The following is a 21,965-nucleotide window of genomic DNA, read 5'->3' on the forward strand; positions in this document are numbered from 1 at the left end:
TATGGATGTGAGCCACCACACCTAGTCTGATTCTTCACACAGCTCAGTGATAGGAGATGTTTTAAAATGAATATATTACAAGAACATAAAATTTTTCTGGCTCTGCCTGCCCGCATAGTCTCTCACCGTGTATCCTGTCATCTGCCTCTTTATTTCACTAAAAATGGACCACACAGATTTTCTTCTCACTGCCAAGGATGATAGAAGTCCTCAGCCACCCAGTAGTTGGAACTCCAACTACTATTCCTGTTTGGGAAGCCTGGGTTTCAGCTGGTGTGAGAATAACATGCTGTTTTAAATCCCTTCAATTTTTGTAATACATCTGCTGTTGATAAGAGAAGGCAATCTCCGTGGGGTTGCAGGACAGGAAGCCTAAGCCAGTAGCACTGCCTCTCCTCTACCTATCCCCACAGGCACTCAGAGGTTGATGGAAGCACAGGCATTCTTGATGGGGCCCTCACCACATACAGGAAGCTGTTAATATTCCTAGTAGATACACATTATCGCAGCCTCTGAGGGTTTGCTGATCATCCACATGCTAGCAGGACTCACAGGCACCCTTTGGTGATCATTCAAGGTGTGGTACGTTTTACTGAATAAGTCCCTTACTTCGATCAGTTTTAATGAGAGCCCCTAGGATTTGCAGTCAGCCAGCTATTCATCCATCCATGCTGGTCCATCCTCCATGATTTATCTATAGCTATCATCGGTCATCTCTCTCTCTTTCTCCATCCATCCATCAACCCATATATCTCTATGCATCTATCCATCCATCTACCTGTCTATCTATCTACCTGTTTGTCTATTGATCAATCCATCATCTATCATTTATCTATCATCTATGAATCTATCTACCCATCATCTATCTATCATCTATAATCTATTCATCCACTCATTCATCTATCATGTATCTATCTATCCATCATCTATATCTGTCTATTTATCTAGCCATTCATTCATCTATTTAGACATCTCTCTATCCATTCACCCATCCACCCATATATCTCTATCCCTGTCTATTTATCTATCTGTCTACTCACCCATCTATCCTTTCATCCACCTACATATACAAATATGCTCCATCTGTCCTCCATCATTTATTTGTACGTGTCATATTTATTACATCTATGTCTCTATTGATATATACATACACATATGTATACATAGATGCATACTCCATAATTTATTTTTATCCATATCTTACCTGTCTATTCATCCACCCACAACACAGATCTATTCATGCATCTCTCTATCTAATCACCCACTCATCCAGGTATCCATCTGTCCACCTACACACACATATATACATGCTCCATCTATCCTCCATCATTTATTTGAATCTGTCCTATCCTATCTTATCTATTTATCTATCTATCCATCTATCCAACTACTCACTCTATCTCTATCATCTATTTATCTATCTATCCATTCATCTATCAATCCATCTATCCATCATATCTATCTATCTATCTATTCATCTATCCTATCTATCTATCCACCCATAGATCTCCATCCACCTATCTACTCACCTACTCAGCCACCCACCTATCTATCCATGCATCCACTTACACATACATACATGCCCCATCTATCCATCCATCATTTATTTGTATCTATCATATTTATCACATCTATCTCTCTATTGATATATACATACACATATGTATACATAGATGTATACACCATAATTTATTTTTATCTATCATATCCCATCTGTCTATTCATCCACCCACAACACAGATCTATTTGTGCATCTATCTAATTAGCTAGTCATCTATCGATCCATCCATCCACCTACACACACATCTATACATGCTCCATCTATCCTCCGTCATTTATTTGAATCTGTCCTATCCTCTCCTCTCCTCTATCCTATCTATCTATCTATCTATCTATCTATCTATCTATCTATCTATCTATCCATCCATCCATCCATCCAACCACTCACTCTATCTCTATCATCTATCTGCCTATCTTTCTGTCTACATATTATCTATCATCTATCTTTCTTTCTATCATCTCTATTTATCTAGCTAGCTATATCTACATATGCATCTGTTCATCTGTCTATCTACCTATCTTTCTGTCTACATATTATCTATCTATATATCTACCTACCTATCATCTCTAGCTAGCTAGCTAGCTCTATCTATGTATACATCTATTCTTCCATCAACTATAACCTGCCTTGTCTCTGTGATGTATCTATTCTTCCATCATCTGTAACCTGCCTTGTCTCTGCGGTGTATCTATTCTTCCATCATCTGTAACCTGCCTTGCCTCTGTGATGTCTCTATCTTTGTGGCTATGACTTTGTCTTCTCAGTGAATGAGAAAATTTCTAGTTCACGTCATTGACAGAAACTCACAATTCTATTTTTCTCCCTTATTGTTTATCCTATCCTGTTGCTCACAACCGGATCTGAATACAAACTTCCTCTGTAAACTAAAGAAGAACAAAAAAAATGTGGCTAAGTGGCACTCGGATTTTTTAGAGGAAGGAGAATATCTCTGCTACTTTATTTTTGTGTATTAGCTGATTGTTTCACGTGAAGAATGCTCACATGGTTTTTGCAATGTGCTGGCATATGTTGACATATTGATGCGTAGATGTGTTTGTGTGTTTGGTTTTAGGCAAATGGCACCAAGGCTTGAACTGCGACTCCCGAAGTGACCAGTGCCACCATCCATATAATTATGGGTTTGACTACTACTATGGCATGCCGTTCACTCTCGTTGACAGCTGCTGGCCGGACCCCTCTCGTAACACGGAATTAGCCTTTGAGAGTCAGCTCTGGCTCTGTGTGCAGCTAGTTGCCATTGCCATCCTCACCCTAACCTTTGGGAAGCTGAGCGGCTGGGTCTCTGTTCCCTGGCTCCTGATCTTCTCCATGATTCTGTTTATTTTCCTCTTGGGCTATGCTTGGTTCTCCAGCCACACGTCCCCTTTATACTGGGACTGCCTCCTCATGCGGGGGCACGAGATCACGGAGCAGCCCATGAAGGCTGAACGAGCTGGATCCATTATGGTGAAGGAAGCGATTTCCTTTTTAGAAAGGTAAGCGGAATAATTACAAATTCATGTAATAATGATAATGATCTCTTTTTTAAAAGGACCTAGATAGATCTGTAGGGTGATTGTAGTTTATAATAATCTATTGTACACTTCTAAATAGCTAAAAGAGAATAAGTCAAATGGCTCTAGAATAAAGAAAAGACAAATATTTAAGGTGATGGACACCCCAATTACACTGATTTGAAAAAATAAATCATTTGTAATAATTCTTTACAAATTATATGAATGTATTAAATTGTAACGTGTACTCTTAAACTATGCACATCTATAATGCATTAATAAAAATAATAGGGGATGATGGTATTAAAAATATTGAGTTAGGAAATGGAATATTGCTAAATGGTGTAATAGGGTTAGATAAAAATATGAAGTGTATTGAAGACCAGTTGGACTCTTCAGTTGGTACCTAAAGCGGTGGTACCTTGTTTGGGCTCCTGTTATTAAAATCATGGCCTCTCTATTGGCTCTGAAATTTATATGTTGTCAGACCATGGACGCAGACCCTAGTAACTTAAACTCACAAATTGTTTACGTTAATTTACAATGCATCTTGTCATCATGTTAACTTACAACAGGGAATATGTACATATACAATATGTATATACTATACTATATATGTATATATATAATATATTTTATAATATTTTTTGTCTGGTTCCCTGATACATATAGATAAATATATATATATATCTGGAAATCAGATGAAAAAAGTAAGTTTTCCATTGCATTATGTTCCTGTTGTTAAAAAACAAAAAAAAAGCTACTTGGGGAAATTAAAATCAGAAGGCTTCTCTTTGAGCATGTGATACGTAAGGGCTATTTCATGAATTGGATGAGGTAAATGGTCAAAGGTGATTGTTATAAAAACTTTATGCATCCAGAACACAATGACTGGAAATTTTCAAGGGTATCTATCCTCTTGTTGTTGGACCTTCTTTCTTTAAAAAAAGCCTGTAAACACATTTTTTCATTTGCTTTTTCCATATTGATTGAGGCTTAATCTTTACCAATAGCCATTCTAGGATCTGGATTTTCAGGATGTAAGGTGTCTTGTGTACTCTGGTACATAGCTTTGTCCTCACTCTGTAGCCCAAGTGAAGGTGATAAATATGTAGTTTGGGGCTGGCAGCGGTGGCTCAGCACTCTGGGAGGCCGAGGAGGGTGGATCATCTGAGACCAGCCTGACCAACATAGTGAAACGCCATCTCTACTAAAAATACATATTAGCTGGGAGGCTGAGGCAGGAGAATCGCTTGAATCCGGGTGGCGGAGGTTGCAGTGAGCTGAGATCACGCCATTGCACTCCAGCCTGAGCAACAGAGGGAGACTCTGTCTTAAAAAAAAAAATGTTGTCTGGGAGTAATAAAGCCATACTTGCTCTGTAGATGCAACTGAATGCTTGGTGTCACTTAGAGCAAATCTTTCTGTTCCCTGGTACCTTTCCAAATGTGCAGAGTTCTATGAATTTTTACAGACAGAGCATCAATATGTGCAAATTAGCACCAACCACTCTGAAAGTATATGATAAGCAATCCTATTCTCTTCTGTCTGCCAGTTCGTCTTCAAACATTCCCACACAGTTCTCCTTAGGAATTTACATGAGTACTTGAAGAACAGATCCTATGGTTGAGATGTACATTGTTCACCAAAACCTCTGTCGAGTTTCAAAAGTTCCATATGATCCACAATAACACAATATTGAATGGAAAAAACAATGGTGAAGAGGAAATATAAAGACTTGGACGTTGTGACAATAAGCTCATGGCTTAGGTTCATGAATGCTCAAAACTATTTTTATCTGGATTCTCAGTGTATGACTCTCCTACAGTTGCTATAACAAATCACTATAGGGCTGAGTCCAATGGCTCATGCCTGTAATTCCAGCACTTTGGGAGGCTGAGGTAAGCGATCACTTAAGTTCTGGAGATTGAGACCAGCCAAAGCAACATATGGGAGCCATATTTCTACAAAAAATACAAAAAAATTAGTTGGATATGATGGCATGCATCAGTAGTCACAGCTACTCAGGAGGCTGAGGTGGGAGGATTAGTTGAGCCTGGGAGGTTGAGGCTGCAGTGAGCCGTGATTGCACCACTGCACTCCAGTCTGGGCAACAGAGTGAGGCCCTGTCTTAAAAAATAAAAAAAATTACCACAAATGTAGTGGCCTAATGCAACACAAAGTTATTATTCTGCTGTTCTTGAGGTAAGAAATCCAAAATTAAACTTGTGGGCTAAAATCAAGATGTTGGTGGGGCTAGTTACTTCTAGGGGTTCTAGGGGAGAATCTGTTTTCTCTTTCTTCTAGTTTCTTGAAGCTGCCTGCATTCTTTAGCTTGTAGGGTTTTGTTTTCTGACTCAGACCCTTCTGCATCTCTCTTATAAAAGGACATTTCTGATTCCACTGGACCTACCCAGATAACCCAGGATAATCACTTTGTCTCATGATCCTTAATTCATTCCCATCTGCAAAAACCTTTTACCATGTAATATCACATGTTCACAGGTTTTGAGAATGAGGATGTGGATATCTTTGGAATGGGGCATTATTCAGCTGATCACTTTGACCACGACTCTTTATTTTGGCAGCTTAGTTTGGGATGCAAACTATTTAATTTTAAATATTTAATGTTCAGAGCTGTGCTTCCTCTGTAGGCTCTAGGGGAGGATTCTTCCTGCCCTTCCCCACTCCTGGTGGCTTCAGGCATCCCTGGGCTTGTAGCCGCATCACTCCAGTCTCTGCTTCATCTGCATATGGCCTTCCCCTCTGTGTTTGTGTCTCATCTTCTGTCTCTTATAACGACAATAGTCATTGGATTTAGTGCCCATCCTAATTCCAGGATGAGCTCATCTTCAGATCCTTAATTAATTACCTCTGCAAAGGTCTTGATATCCAAATAAGGTCTCATTCCAGGTTCTGGGCTTTAAAATATATGGACTTATATTTCTGGGGGCTACTATTCAAACTACTACAATTGTATCCAGTTTCTTCTGGAGGCTCTAGGGGAGGATCTCTTCTGCCTCCTCTAGCTCCTGGTGGCTCCAGATGCCCCTTGGCTGGTGGTTGCATTACTCCATTTCCACATGGCCTCTTCTTCTGTGCTTGTGTCTCCTCTTCTCCTATAGGGACAACATTATTGGATTGGGGACTCATCCTAATCCAGAATGATCACATCTTAAGTAATTAAATCTCCAGAGGCCCCATTTCCAAATAAGGTCCCATTCTGAGGTTTCAAGTGAACGTGAATTTTGAGGGGTCACTGTTCAAGACACCATGACATAAGTCTTGTTTTTAAAATTCATTTTTTTTATTTCTTTATATTTTGATATCTCACCAGAGCAGAAATTTCCCAACGAATGGCATTTGTGCTGTGTGTTTTCCTGGGTAGCTGAGGACTTATCATTCATGCAGATGGATTATCAAAATTAACAGCGGGTCAGCCTAGTTCCCTGTATCCTCATGTGAGAACCTACAGGGTGCAAATGGCTTGCCAAGGCATTCCTGTTTGTACTGGCTTATGGCTCGTGAAACTCTTGATCTGGCTAAGAAATGACTTCCATACCACTGTCTCTTGATGTATCTCAGGGTGTGACCCTAGTTTGAGGCTTCACGAGCAGTGAGAACATCCACCAAACAGAGCTGGATTTGACTTTTCGCACTCGCATGATATGGGAGGTCCGTGTTGGCTTGCAGTATATTCTACAGCTGTCCTGGCATCTGAGAATCAAAGGAACTGTGATGGTGTCACAGGACTACCAGGTTCATATGCCTGCTGCACAGTAACATACCAATACACTGAGGCAGCAGGGTTTATGGCAGAGAAAGGTTTAATAATTGCAGGGCAATTAGTGCGAACATGAGAGGAGACCTCAAATCCATCTTTTTTTTTTTTTTTGAGACTGAGTATCACTCTGTTGCCCAGGCTGGAGCGCAGTGGTGCAATCTCAGCTCACTGCAACTTCTGCCTCCTGGGTTCAGCGATTCTCCCACCTCAGCTTCCCCAGTAGCTGGGATTACAGGAGCCCATCATCATATCTGGCTAATTTTTGTATTTTTAGTAGAGATAAGATTTCACCCTGTTGGCCAGGCTGGTCTCAAACTCCTAACCTCAGGTGATCCGCCATCTTCAGCCTCCCAAAGTGGTGTGATTATAGGCGTGAGCCACTGTGCCTGTCCTCAAACCCATCCTTCCAAGGAGTTCTGGGCTGGATTTTTTAGGGGAATCATGGAGGGTCTTGGGGTCACTGATGGGTTGGGGTAAGAGGGAATGGAATCATCAGAATATGGAAATGGTATGCTTTGGTAAGTCAGCTTCTCATAGGGTCCTTCAGAGAAGCAGACATCAGCAGTTTCCCTGGTATGCACAACCTGAAAGATTATTGCAAATGGAAAACTTAACATTTCATGATGTTATGTTATCATCCTGTAACAGGATCTGTGCGATTCTAGAACAAATAGGTACCAAACAAGTAGGAATACATAGATGAGAGGGCAAGCTGACCTCAGGATCAAAGCTGAGTATGCTGCAAGCTTAGTTCATTTTGTTTCTCCCGCTCCCTTCCTCTCTGATTGATTTTATGAAGTTTATAGAGATGGTTTCAGTAGCATTACCAAAGGGGTTAGGGAGCAGTTGAGGTGCTGCAGGATCATGGAGTCCATTCTATGCAGGATGGGGCCCTTGGGTGGACCCACTCTATCTTCTGCAGCTTGGAGAAGAAGGAAGCAGGTCATGTCTATGAGAAGCCAAAACAATAGTTTTCACATTCATAGATATTGAAAACTCACAAGTAGTTTCATTGATGTCTTCTCAGGCACAGTAAGGAAACTTTCCTTCTCTTTTTCTCCTTTCTTCACGTGCACACACCTCTCCCCACCACGGACGATTTCACTGGCACCAGCAAGCATGGCTTGTATGGGGATAATGTGGAAGAGATGGACTCCATGGTGGGTAAGTCACAGGACTTAAGTGGACAGAAACTAACGTGTTCTGATAGGACAGGACACCTGAAAACTGCTCTTGGTCAACCTGTAGAGTGAAGAGAATTATGCCTATGGGACAGAGTGGTCTGAGACATTAATGAGGTAATAGTTGCTAGCAATTGAGAAAGTCAGCAAAAAAACTATATGCATTTCCTCTCCTTTCTTTGCATGCTGTCCACTTATCAACTTGGGTCTTTGTCTACTTGACTGCGTCTCCAGTGCTGGCCAGATAACAAATCAAATCTTCTTTTCAAAAATTTCAACTCTTGTTTTAGATTCAGGGAGTACATGTGCAGGTTTTTTACCTGGGTGTATTACGTGATGCTGAGGTTTAGGATATGATCAAACCCTTCACCCGGACACTAAGCATAGCACGCAATAGTTAGTTTTCAACCCTTCCCCCACTCCTTCCTTCACCCCTCTAGTAGTCCCCAGTATCTATTGTACTGATCTGTGTGTCCACATATACTTGATGTTATGCTCCCACTTATTTTGTTTCATTTTTAAAAATAAATTTTATTGTGTATTTTAAGATTCACAACGTGACGTTAAAAGATACGTATAGATAGTAAAATGATTACTATAGTGAAGCAAATAGTAATCATTAAGTAACATAATATAGTAATATTAAGTAATAGTAATATAGTAAGCAAATGTATCTATCATCTCACACTGTTACTTTTTTGTGACAAGATCAGCTAAAATCTATTTAACAAAAGTCCAGCTGAGCACAGTGGCTTCCATCTGTAATCCTGGCACTTTGGGAGGCTGAGGCAGGAGGATCACTTGAGCCTAGGAGTTTGAGACCAGCCTGGACAACATAGTGAGACCCTGTCTCTACAAAAATACAAAAATTAGCTGAGTGTGGTGGCATGTGCCTGTAGTCCCAGCTACTTAGGAGACTGAAGCGGGAGGATTGCTTGAGCCCATAAATTGAGGCTGTAGTGAGCCATGATTGCACCACTGCACTCCATGCACTCCAGTCTGGGTGACAGTAGCTCCCACTTATAAGTGAGAACATGCAGTATTTGGTTTTCTATGTCTGCATTAATTTGCATAGGATAATGTCCACCACCGGCATCTATGTTGCTGCAAAGGACATGATCTTGTTCTTTTTTATGGCTGTGTAATATTCCATGGTGTATACGTACCACATTTTCTTTATCCAATCCACCATTGATGGGTGCCTAGGTTGATTTATGTCTTTGCTCTTGTGAATAGTGCTGTGATGAACATATGAGTGCACATGTCTTTTTTTTTTTTTGAGACAAGATCTCACTCTGTCACTCAGGCAGAAGTGCAATGACATGATCTCAGCTCACTGAAATCTCTGCCTCCTGAGCTAATGCGATTCTCCTGCCTCAGCCTCCTGAGTAGCTGGGGCTATCTATAGGCACATGCTACTGCGCCCGGCTAATTTTTGTATTTTTTGTAGAGGCAAGGTTTTTCCATGTTACCCAGGCTGCTCTTGAACTCCCAAGCTCAGGTAATATGCCTGCCTCAGCCTCTCAAAGTGCTGGGATGACAGGCATGAGTCACTGCACCCAGCCCACATATCTTTTTGATAGAAAGAGAAATCATATTTTCAGACTCTTTAGTGACATAGCCAAACTTTATTTCAGGTCTGTTGAGCACCAATATCTTAGTTGGGGATTGGGAATTAACTGGTAAGTCAGAATCCAGTACCCTCATGAACTCATCCTGTAGAGAGAACAATGTAAATGGGACGTCCTAGGACTTACATGGTAAATGTATTGATTAGCAAAATGGCTTTAATTTTCCAACATTAATGAAAGAAAACCATGAGTGAAACTCACATATATGCAGGACACAAATTTAAAGTATAATATTTTCCAGACACAGATATTGTGAAATATATGTCACTAAATAGAAAGACGCTTTGGAAAATTAAGCCTGGAAAAAGCAAAGCCAATTTGCATAGTCTTAAACACATAAAAAATATGAAGTATTTAAAAATATAAATAATATTCAAACCAAATACATGAACATGAATAGATGTTTATGTAGGTATAAGTGTGTGTGTCTGTGTCTGTAGTGTTTGTGTACATATGTATAGAAACAGATGATTGACAGAGATAGATGATGGATAGATAGATGATAGGTAAATAGATGATAGATGGATAGATAGATGATGGACTGATAGTTGATAGATGATAGGTAGATAGATAGATGATGGATGATAGATAGATGATAAATAGACGATAGATGATCGATAGAAAGATAGATGATTGAGAGATAGATACATAGATAAACAGATGATAGATGACAGAGAGACAGATGATAGATTGATAGATTATAGATGGATACATGAATAGAAAGATGAATAAACAGATATATAGATGATAGATGGATAGATATATAGATAAGTACATGATACATATGACAGATGATAGATGACAGATAAGATAGGTGATTGATAGATAAGATAGATAGATGATAGGATAGATTGACAGATACGTAGATGATAGGTAGGTAGATAGATGATAGATAGATACATACATACATACATACATACATACATACATAGATACATAGATAGATAGATAGCTATGCATACCCCTCTTACTTTCTGCCTCCACCAGCACTAGTCCTTAAAGTTTAGATTCTTAATATTGCACTCAATCTCAAAAATCGTGGCGATCCTATTTTTGATTTGATCTTTGAAAATCAATGAAATAGGTCATTCAAACTCAGGCTGTGATAAGTAAAAGACATTACTATTTGCTTTAAAAATTTAAATTAACAAAGCTCCCAAAGTATCTAATTTAATAAACCTGATGATGTGTCATAGTGTTCAAACAAGGCACTTTGGGTATGACTTTAATTTCGATGGGATTTTTCTGGTGACATTCAGATAATATTACGCAAACGGATGGGTGTGTTGAATCTGGTTGGACAAGCTGTGATATCTGAAAATTATATTTTGAAAAAGCGCAACTGAGATGTACATGATACTGGTGCCCAGAGGTTTTGAATGTTTTGTCCACACAGCCAGAATCAAGCCTTTAGGAAGAATAAACATCTGCTTTAATATATAATTTTAGCAATTCTCAAGCAAACATATATTTACCCTGAAATTATTTATCCCAGAAGCTGTAACAATACCCCAAGTCCTAAGAATTGTTGCTTTTCTTATTAGAAAAGTTGATTTGTGGCCATTCCTGGTAGAGATATCACCTTCCTGCCTTTTATAATTATCATAGGTGGCCGGGCGCGGTGGCTCACGCCTGTAATCCCAGCACTTTGGGAGGCCAAGGCGGGTGGATAACGAGTTCAGGCAATCAAAACCATCCTGGTTAACACTGTGAAACCCCGTCTCTACTAAATATACAAACACATCCGTGGTGGCGGGCGTCTGTAGTCCCAGCTACTCGGGAGGCTGAGGCAGGAGAATGGCGTGAACCTGGGAGGCAGAGCTTGCAGTGGCCGAGATCGCGCCACTGCACTCCAGCCTGGGCAACGGAGCGAGACTCCGTCTCAAAAGAAAAAAAAATTATCATGGGTTTCCCACAGCAGTGCCCTGAAATAATGGAGTCTACTGATAGAATAAACATTTATTTTCATTTTTTAATAATTTCCACCTTTTATTTTAGATTCAGGGAGTACGCATGCAGGTTTGTTACCTGGGTATATTGCATGATGCCAAGATTTGAAGTACAATAGCTCCTGTCACCCAGGGAGCGAGCATGGCAACCAATAGATAGATTTTCAGCCCTTGTCCCCCACCTTCCTTCTCCCCTTTTGGAGTCCCCAGTGTCTATTGTTCCCATCTTTATGTCCATGAGTACCCAATGTTTAACTCCCACTTATGAGAACATGTGGTAGTTGGTTTTCTTTTTCTGTGTTAATTTGCTTAGGACAATAGCCTCCAGCTGTATCCATGTTACTGCAAAGGATGTGATTTTGTTCTTTTTTATGGCTGTGTAGTATTCCATGGTGCATCTGTACCACATTTTCTTTATCCATGTAGATTGGTTCTATGTCTTTGCTATTGTGAATAGTATGATAATCATGCAAGTGCCTGTGTCTATTTGGTAGAATGATTTATTTCCCTTTGGGTAGACACCCAGTAATGGCATTGCTGGGTCAGAGGGTAGTTCTGTTTTAAGTTATCTGAGAAATCTCCAAAGTGCTTTCCACAGTGGCTGAGCCAATTTATATTCCAAACAATAGTATATAAGTGTTGCATCTTCTCTGCAGCCTCACCAGCATCTGTTCCTCTTTTATTTTTTTGACTTATTGGGTTCGTGCAAAAGTAACTGAGGTCTTTGTCATTGAAAGTAATGATAGATTGATAGATTATAGATGGATACATTGAAAGTAATGACAAAGACCTCAATTACTTTTGCACCAACCTAATAGTAGCCTTTCCAGCTGGTATAATAAACACTTTTAAAAGTGATACTTCCTATGGGCCATGCACTGTTACCAGTGTATTCTGGATGAATCCCCACAACATCCCCGGAGACGAGTATCATCTTCATCATCATGTTTATCTCCATTCACAGAGAAGGAGGCAAAAGTATGTGGCCTTTGGTGGCTGCTCCTGGAGATAAGCCAGGGTTGGGCTCCAAAGCTCTTACTCCCTAGCTCAGCTACCTCTTATGCAGGGCAAAGAAGTCATGTTGAATGATGAGGAAGGAGAGCTACATTCTTCTCTGAAGTCTCCAGTAGCCCCATTAGACTCCTACAGACCGTCATTTCACAGGAGTCAGAAAAACTCCAAAAACTTCCCCCAACCTGGCTTCCTGCTTCCTTCGAGCCCAGCGAGAGGCTTTCATTGGAGATACCACCCTTGCCCCACCCAGGGGAAAATCTCTGATGCCGAATGAGTCATGCATTTCTGCATGGGCAAGAGTCCATCAGCTTGGATCTGAAGAGCAGGTTTCTCAAGAATGCAGATAAGAAAGTAAAATGTGCAAAAATGAGTAGGAGAAATGGCCTTATCAGCAGGAGATGAGACAAGGATGAGGGTCTTGGCTGAGCCTGTTGTACAGACAGTTGTGAGTGGTGGAATCCCAGGGCAGGCCTGTCTGTGGACAGCAACACAGCTTGGGCAGCAACCCTGGACAGGGCAGAACTGCAAAGGAGGCTGTAAACATGTATTTCTATGTCATATATATATATAATTTATATGAAATATTTGAGACACATATATAAAATATAACTTAACCCTTTATAATATATATATTTATATTATTTGTTATACATATTAGTATTAATAATTTGAAAGTTATCATATATATGAATATATATTATGTATTTCTGTAGCATATAATTTCTATATTTATTTATTTATTTCAGTTGATGTTAGAAAGGTACGAATCATTTCCATGGTTGTAATCCCTGCTACTTTGGAGGCTGATGTGGCAGGATCATTTAAGCCCAGGAGTTTGAGGCTGCAGTGAGCCACGATTGCACCACTGCACTCTAGCCTGGGTGACAGAGCAAAATCCTGTCTCAGAAATAATCATTTCCATGGCCACTATGTAATCTCTCTAAATTTTAAGATATAAATAGAATAATTGAATATAATTGAATAATATTAAGAATACAAACAACTCAAAGTAATTTAATATTATTTGTAAAGAACAGAATTGCCTATGTTAAAAACCCTAGAGTTTAATAAAACACATATCAGCACATAGATGACATATGATATTATAATAAAATTATATTACATATAATTTATATTATAGTTATATTACTTATATACATCATTATATTATTATGTTCATATATAATATAAACATATCATTAATATACAATTATTAGATTTTAATATATTATATGGTTCTATCTTATATATATCACAATTATGCTATGCATATTATATATTATGTACATGTATACATCAGTACCATAGAGGTTTTATTAAACTTTCTGGGGTTTCCAACATAGGTATGTTCACTACATTTAATGTTAAGTTTGTATTTTATGTGTTAAAGTATGTATTTAACTTTAATGTTAATTGCATTAGTCAGGTTATGTACAAAAATAAGTTACATAATGACAAAAATATTCTTATTTTTCTGGTATTAATGAAATAGTTTCAATTTTTACTTTTAAGCATAATGTTGACTGACGCTTTGAATATTTTAATTCTTAATATTTTGAGAGACTTATAAGATGTGCATTAATTAGATAGTAGCCAGGAAAATTCTTGCATGCTTTCTAGTATTACCTAACTATATATATGTATATGTAGTTAACTATATACATGTTATATATCATGCTGTTGATATTATCTATATTTTATATATATCTAACAATATAACTTATAAAACATTTTTATTATATACATAAATACATATATACTACATGTTATGTAGTATATGTGTTCTAAAGATTGATATATAATATAATAAATACATTTGTTTTTGTATAGTATATGTTAGTATAGTATTAGTCCAATAGTATAATTAGTTACATTTATATATTAGCTATACATAAATATATTAGCTATATATAAAAATATATTAGTTATACATATATATGAAGTCTACAGTGTTTCTCTGTTGGGTATATGCACCAAAATTAAGACCTTTTCTTTTTGTTAAAAATAATGCATTTCAAGATACAATGGATCACCAGCTACTATTCATTATAGCTCCAATGTCAATAACTAAAATATTTAGAAATAATTTTTCAAGCAGTAAATGAGTATCTCGAAGCTGACTCATGAAAGAAAACTTGAATACATGGAAAGGAAGAGTGGATTGTATACATGTATTAGTTATTTCAAAGTTAATATTGAAGGCTAAGGTAGCTCTGATTAGAGCATTAATTACTGTTCTCTGGGGAGTGGTCATTATAGAGGTGATGATGAAATACACACTGAATAAACTGATAGGAAATAAACTTTCCAGAAACATCTGATGAGAAAGTCTTTGGTAGAAAACATCAAGAAACACTTCTGTGATCATAAGAAATGCTATCAAAAAGATAACTACAAAAATTAAAACGCAGAAATACAAGATTTGACTTTTAGATCAATGAAGCAGAAAATAATAGCCTTAGAGCAGGTCTGGGAAAGAGAAGGACATTACATTCGGTACAATAAAGTTTTTAAATCAAGGTGGCAGGGGTGAAAGGTGTTGGGGAAAGTTTGTGTTATGAGTTGACTTACATCCCCCCAAAAAGGTATGTTCAAGTCATAATCCAAGGTATGTGAGAATGGGATCTTATTTGGAAATAGGGTCGTTGCAGGTGGAATCAAGTTAAGATGAGGTCATTGGGGGTGGGTCCTAATCCGATATGGTGAATTAGGATGAGGCTGCTACATGCCAAGGAAGGCTAAGGACTGATGCCAACTGTCTGAAGTGAGGAAGAGGTAAGGAAAGGTCCTCCCCTAGAAACTTCAGAGAGAGAGAGTGACTCTGCCAACACATTGATTTTGAACATCTGGCCCCCAGAACTGTGAAAGAATAAATGTTTGTTGTTTTAAGCCACCTCATTTGTACTAATTTGTTTCAGCAGCCCAAGGAAATTCACAGAGTTAGTTTAGGAAAAACCATTACCAATTCAATTAGCATGCTTTTCCATACACATTAAGGACATTGAGTGAAACAAAACAAAAATTGGAAGAAGCTATAGTTAAACAGTAAATTTACATCTGGATGAGGTATAGTGTTAGTAATAGCAAAAGGTTATCTGATAAGTAGCATGACTAAAGGCCCTATGCAAACTGAGGAAATATTAGCAACAACATGACATTGTTTTAACTGCTTGACAAATAAAGAGTTCTTATAAATCAATAATGGAAACACATAATTCCTTCCAAAAATATCAGCAAAATTTTAAACATCTTTTACAGATTAAAAGTACAAATATTAGAGTGGACACAGGAGGAAACTCATGATCATTCATAATGTACCATAATCACCTATCAAACATTAGATACTGATGAGGAATTGAGAAAATGAACTATTATTAATGCCAAAAGTTGTTCATTATGGCATTTTAAATTATGGCAAAGTATGAAAATTAACCAGAATAGTGAACAACAGTAAAATGGTTAAATAATTTATACTACTTAAAAATAAAGTATCATAAATTGTTTAGGCCAGGTGTGGTGGCTCACGCCTGTAATCCCAGCACTTTGGGATGCCGAGGCAGGCAGATCACCTGAGGTCGGGAGTTCGAGACCAGCCTGACCAACATGGAGAAATCCTGTCTCTACTAAAAATACAAAATTAGCTGGGTGTGGTGGCGCATGCCTGCAGCTGAGGCAGGAGAAATGCTTGAACCTGCGAAGCGGAGGTTGCAGTGAGCTGAGATCGTGCCATTGCACTCCAGCCTGGGTAACAAATGCAAAACTCCATCTCAAAATAAAATATATATATATACACATACACACACAACACACACACACACACACACACACACACACACACACACACAATGGACACTTTTCCAGCCATTAAATTGTACATATAATTTTTTAAATTTATTTTTTTAATTGAGACAGGGTCTCACTGTGTTGACAAGGGTGGTCTCAAATACCTGAGCTCAAGGGATCCGCCTTCCTTGCCCTCCCAAATTGCTGGGATTACAGGTGTGAGCCATGATGCCCAGTCTTGAATAATTTTTTAACACGAAGATTTTCCGAGAAATAATATTGGATGAAGAAAGCAAGTTGAAAACCGTTCATACAATATCAACCCAAATAGAGAGAGAGAGATGCATCTACAAGAGTATGTGATATGGTTTGGCTGTGTCCCCACCCAAATCTCATCTTGAATTGTAGCTCCCATAATTCCCACATGTTGTGGGGGGGACCTGGTGGGAGATAATTGAATCATGGAGGCAGTTTCCCCCATAGTGTTCTCATGGTAGTGAATAAGTCTCATGAGATCTGATGGTTTTATAAGGGGAAACTCCTTTTGCTTGGCTCTCATTCTCTCATGTCTGCCACCGTGTAAGATGTGCCTTTCACCTCCCATCGTGATTGTGTGTCCTCTCCAGCCACGTAGAACTGTGATTCCATTAAACCTCTTTTTCTTTATAAGTTACCCCGTCTCAGGTATGTCTTTATTAGCATCGTGAAAACAGACTAATACAGTATGTAACAATTTTTTTTAAATAGTCAAATGGCAATGGGGCAGGAAATTGGTGGTCTTTATTTTCCTCCTTATAATTTTCTTTATTTTTTTGTATTTCCCAAGCTATTTTGTATTTTTATAATCAGAAAAATATTAGCTTTGTTGTTTTTTCTTGCTACTTTTCACTATTTACTGAAAAGTAGCAAGAAGAGTAAAAACAACTCCCGTGTCCCCTTCACCCATCTTTCCCAATTGTTAGCAATTTATCAAATATATCTTCTCTCGCCCCTCTTCCTTTCTCCTGATCATCCTCTTTCTTCCTCTCTCTCTCTTTCTCTCTTCCACCTCCACATGTTTCTTATGCTTCTGAATATTTGGGAATAAGATGCAGATATGATGTTCATTAAATTTAGAAACTTTAGTGTGTATTTTCTAAAACAAAGACATTCTCCTACATCATCACTGCGAATCATCAAAATCGGGAAATTAACATGGGTGGATTCTTAGGATTTAATTCACAAATCCCAGCCAAACTTCTCCAGCTGTCCTCAAAAGAAAATTTATACACAGCAAGCAAAACCAATGGACAAACAAAAACCAACCAACAAAACCCCTACTTCCTCTACCCTCTTTCTGTTCTGGTCCATGGATTTTCTTGTTGTATCTGTTTAAACTCCTCTGATCTGGACAAAGACTGAGCAATCTTTATTCTTTCTTGAATTCAAAGACCTTGACATTTTCTGAGAATAAAGACCGGGTATCATCTAGAATGTCCCTTGAATTGGGTTGGTTTGACATTTCCTTCAATGGAAGTGGAAGTGATGGTGTGTTCTCAATCCAGTAGACAAGTAAGTGAATTAGCCCCAACAATGGTTATAAAATTCTTCATCTCTTGATTAAATGGTGTCTTCCAGTTTTCTCCACTGTAAAGTTACTTATTTTGTCATTACTTAATAATTTGAGATTTTTAACTATTTTATGGGAGATACTTTGAGATGAAGCCAATATTTTGGTTCTTATCAAACATTTAATGCCAGGTTTAGCATCCATTGATCATTTTCTCTTGGATGAATTTTCAGTGCGATTTTTGCTAAAAGTATTGTGGTAAATTTTTAAAAGTATTTTAAAATATAAATTCTTTCTTAACTTGCCCTTACTTGTGTGCCTTGGCTCTAGAAGAAAATTTCTAAGGTATAGTACTTTAGGAATGTTAATGTAATGTTATCTGAGATAACCAACAGTAGAACACATAGAATTAGACACGTTTGAGACTAATAAGCTTTTTCATAATTATGCATAATACAGACTGGGTTTGGGAACTCTAGGAATTTAGCTATTTTCCTATAAAAATGATTGGAAATGTGGTTTATTTTGAATACATTCTTCCTCTTTTAACTTGCCCATTGAGTCTAATTCTCCCAACCTAGTCATCCTATTCTCTATTTAAAATATCAAATAAGAAGGGAAGGGAAAATGGTTAAAGAATTACTTATCTAAATCATCTGCAAGAATATATCAAATAAATTATGTGAACCCAACAGTGGGAGTGTCTTATTCTTGCCTCTGTCTCCTCAAATTCTGTAACAATGTCTGCCTTCTGTGAGCAGAGAGGTTGCATAAACCGTGACTGCCATTCTGTGCAACATCAGTCAGAATACCACTACAGTCCTTCGTTTCATATCCAGTGGGAAAAACTGTATTTCTCTGTTTAATGTTTTCATTCTGCATGAAGGAAATTATCAAGGAGAATTTGTCCTTTTAAATGATACCAGTAGCAACTGATGTTCATTTGTATTGCCATAATATTTTTTTCTTAAAGCAGGTCATCTTTTATTTCTTAAAAATTTTGGACTCTCAGTTTTTTGTTTTTTTGTTTTTTGTTTTTTTGAGATGAGTCTCACTCTGTCACCCAGGTTGGAGTGCAGTGGCACGATCTGAGCTCTCTGCAACCTCTGCCTCCCGGGTGTAAGCAATTCTCTGCCTCAGCCACCTGAGTAGCTGGGATTACAGGCCTGTGCCACCATGCCTGGCTAATTTTTGTGTTTTTAGTAGAGACAGGGTTTCATGATCTTGGCCAGGCTGATCTTGAACTCCTGACCTTGTGATCCACCCACTTCAGCCTCCCAAAGTGCTGGGATTACAGGCATGAGCCACCGCGCCCGGCCTGACTCTCAGTTTTTTTCTCTTTCAATGGTTTGTCAATTTAAACTGTTAATGCACATTTCTTTTCTTTTGTGGCTTTTGACATAGGGTCACACCATCCTTGTTTTCCTTTAGATAGCTCATGCCCATTTGACTTAGGGGTGAAATACCTCATAATGTCATTATTTTTACTTGTCTCTTGTATATTATTTTAGGCAAGATTCTTGATGCTATCGATGATTTTGGCCTAAGGAACAACACCCTTGTCTACTTTACATCAGATCACGGAGGGCATTTGGAAGCTAGGCGAGGGCATGCCCAACTTGGTGGATGGAATGGAATATACAAAGGTGAGGAGAGGAACTCATGCAAGTGATCTGGTGGTGAATAAGCTTTTTTGTGGTTCTTATAATTAAAGCCCATGACACAAAGGAATGAGGCCTGAAAAACTGAACAAGTTTGTTTAATTTGACTCTTAGTAAAATGAAGTATTGGACCAAGGTCAAGAAAATTGGTCTTACATTTGTTAACATTTCTGTGGAAGGAAGCCATTTATGTAGAGGGAGCATCTAGAAATATGCCTTTCTGACAACCCTATCAAATTATGAGGAGTTAGCACAAGCAGATGCTTTTATGGGGTCTTTAAAGAAATATCTACTCATTCATTCCATTTATGAGATTATTGAGAGATTAAATGAGGGGGAGTGTGATTCCTAGAGAACAGAGATCAGAAACCAGGGATCCTTCATCATTAAGAAGTCTTCGACACTCTCTTCCAAGGATATAGTACAGCATAGAAAGTAGACAAGCCTGTCTTGGGTTTCATGATTAAATTCACATATACTGATTTTATGTCCTGCTGTAACATTTAGTCCACAAAATAGGTCCATAAGCTACTACATTGGCCAGTCTATAATGTGTAACCTGATGTTAGAATATTATCTTCATTTGTGAAATGAGGATTAAAAAAAGAAAAAGAAAAAAGATAATTATCTGGAAAATGTCGAGTATATTTTATCATATGTCTTGAGAGAGATTTTAAAGTATTTTCTAGAGGAAAATACGTTGTTATTCATGCAACTACAGATTCCACAGTCTTGGATTCGGTAGGAAATTATAATTTCTGTATGAATGAGGTAAAGGCTCTGCCTCCATCTTGCAGAGGGTATGAATGTGTACTCTTTAGAGCGTGTAGCACTAAAGTGTGCACTTAGGACCCAAAACAAATCCTTAGTGGAAATTGTTATTATAGACATTCTATTTTAAAAAAAAAATTCAGTAGTTTTGGGGTTACAGGTGGTTTTTGGTTACACAGATAAGTTCTTTAGTGGTGATTTCTGAGATTTTAGTGCACCGTCATCTGAGCATGTACTCTGTTCCCAATATGTAGTATTTTTTTCCTCAGCCTACTCCCAATCATTCCCCAAAGTCACCAGAGCCCATTATATGATTCTTATGCCTTTGCATTCTTGTAGCTTAACTCCCACTTATAAGTGAAAACAGGCTGTTTGGTTTTCCATTCCTGAGTTACTTCACTTAGAATAATGGCCTCCAGCTCCATCCAAGTTACTGCAAAAGATATTATTTCACTTATTTTTATGGCTGAGTAGAATTCCATGGTGTATGTACACCACGTTTTCTTTATCCACCTGTTGGTTGATGGGTACTTAGGCTTGTTCCATATCTTTGCAATTGAGAATTGCACTGCTATAAGCATGCGTGCGCATGTTAGACATTGTATGTTTGCTTATGGGAACTGTTTTTAAAAATTTTTGGCTCATGCCTGTAATCCCAGCACTTTGGGAGGCTGAGGCAGGCGGATCACAAGGTCAAGAGATCGAGACCATCTGGCCAACATGGTGAAACTCCATCTCTACTAAAAATACAAAAATTAGCTGGGCATAGTGGCGGACACCTGTAGTCCCAGCTACTCAGGAGGCTGAGGCAGGAGAATGGCGTGAACCCAGGAGGCGGAGGTTGCAGTGAGCCGCGATAGCACCACTGCACTCCAGCCTGGCAACAGAGCGAGACTCCATCTCAAAAAAAAAAAAATTAACTTTTCAGCATGCCATGACATAATGTAGATTTTACTCTGATTAACTTAATAAAATAAGAGTCAATTAACACAGGACAGTGGCCACTTCTCCTAATTTCCCCCTGGAAATCCTGGTGTATGCCTGTCATCTTGGTATAATTAAGACAACTTTCTGCTTTTATTCTCAATAATACCTTGATGTGGACAATAAGTTACCATATGTCCATAGTATTCCATTTGTTTTCAAGGTGCATGAATCAACAGTGAGCAAAATAGGCAGAAATCCTCGTCTTCATGGAGTTTATATCCTACTGGAGGGAGGCACAGCAGAAAATAAAATAAAATAAATAAATAATATGGCATATTAGAAGGTGGCTGTAAATAAGAAAAAACACGAGAGTAAAGAATTCTGGGGTGGGACTGCCATTTCAAATAAAATGTTCAGGCACGCCTCATTGAGGTTACTGTGAGTTCCATAAAATTGGGGGCTGGATACAAGAAAAATATTAATTAAAAAAAATATAGGAAGTTACTTTGAGCAAAGGTATGAGGGAGGTTGGAAATGAAGTAGGTGTATATTTGAGATAAGAACACTTTAAGTAGAGAAAATAGCCATGCAAATAGAATGTAAATGTCCAATATTACATATGCTTAGTTATTTAATCAAA

The 21,965-nt window shown here is 38.1% G+C and overlaps 1 protein-coding gene across 7 annotated transcripts in view; it reads left to right on the forward strand.

Moving 5' to 3' along the window:
- ARSF (arylsulfatase F) overlaps positions 1 to 21,965 on the forward strand; it is a 72,494-nt gene that overhangs the window by 41,376 nt on the left and 9,153 nt on the right. For 4 of the 7 annotated variants that reach the window (NM_001201538.2, NM_001201539.2, NM_004042.5 and 1 more), the window contains exons 6-8: positions 2,634 to 3,057; positions 7,887 to 8,023; positions 19,478 to 19,612. In NM_001201538.2, coding sequence (NP_001188467.1) covers positions 2,634 to 3,057; positions 7,887 to 8,023; positions 19,478 to 19,612 — 696 coding nt within the window. Of the gene's footprint in view, positions 1 to 2,633; positions 3,058 to 7,886; positions 8,024 to 19,477; positions 19,613 to 21,965 lie in introns of those variants that run through there. The other 3 variants (XM_011545523.2, XM_017029528.1, XM_011545524.2) reach the window with 3 other exon arrangements.

This window comes from Homo sapiens, chromosome X (assembly GCF_000001405.40).
Source record: "Homo sapiens chromosome X, GRCh38.p14 Primary Assembly".
Classification (NCBI taxonomy): domain Eukaryota; kingdom Metazoa; phylum Chordata; class Mammalia; order Primates; family Hominidae; genus Homo; species Homo sapiens.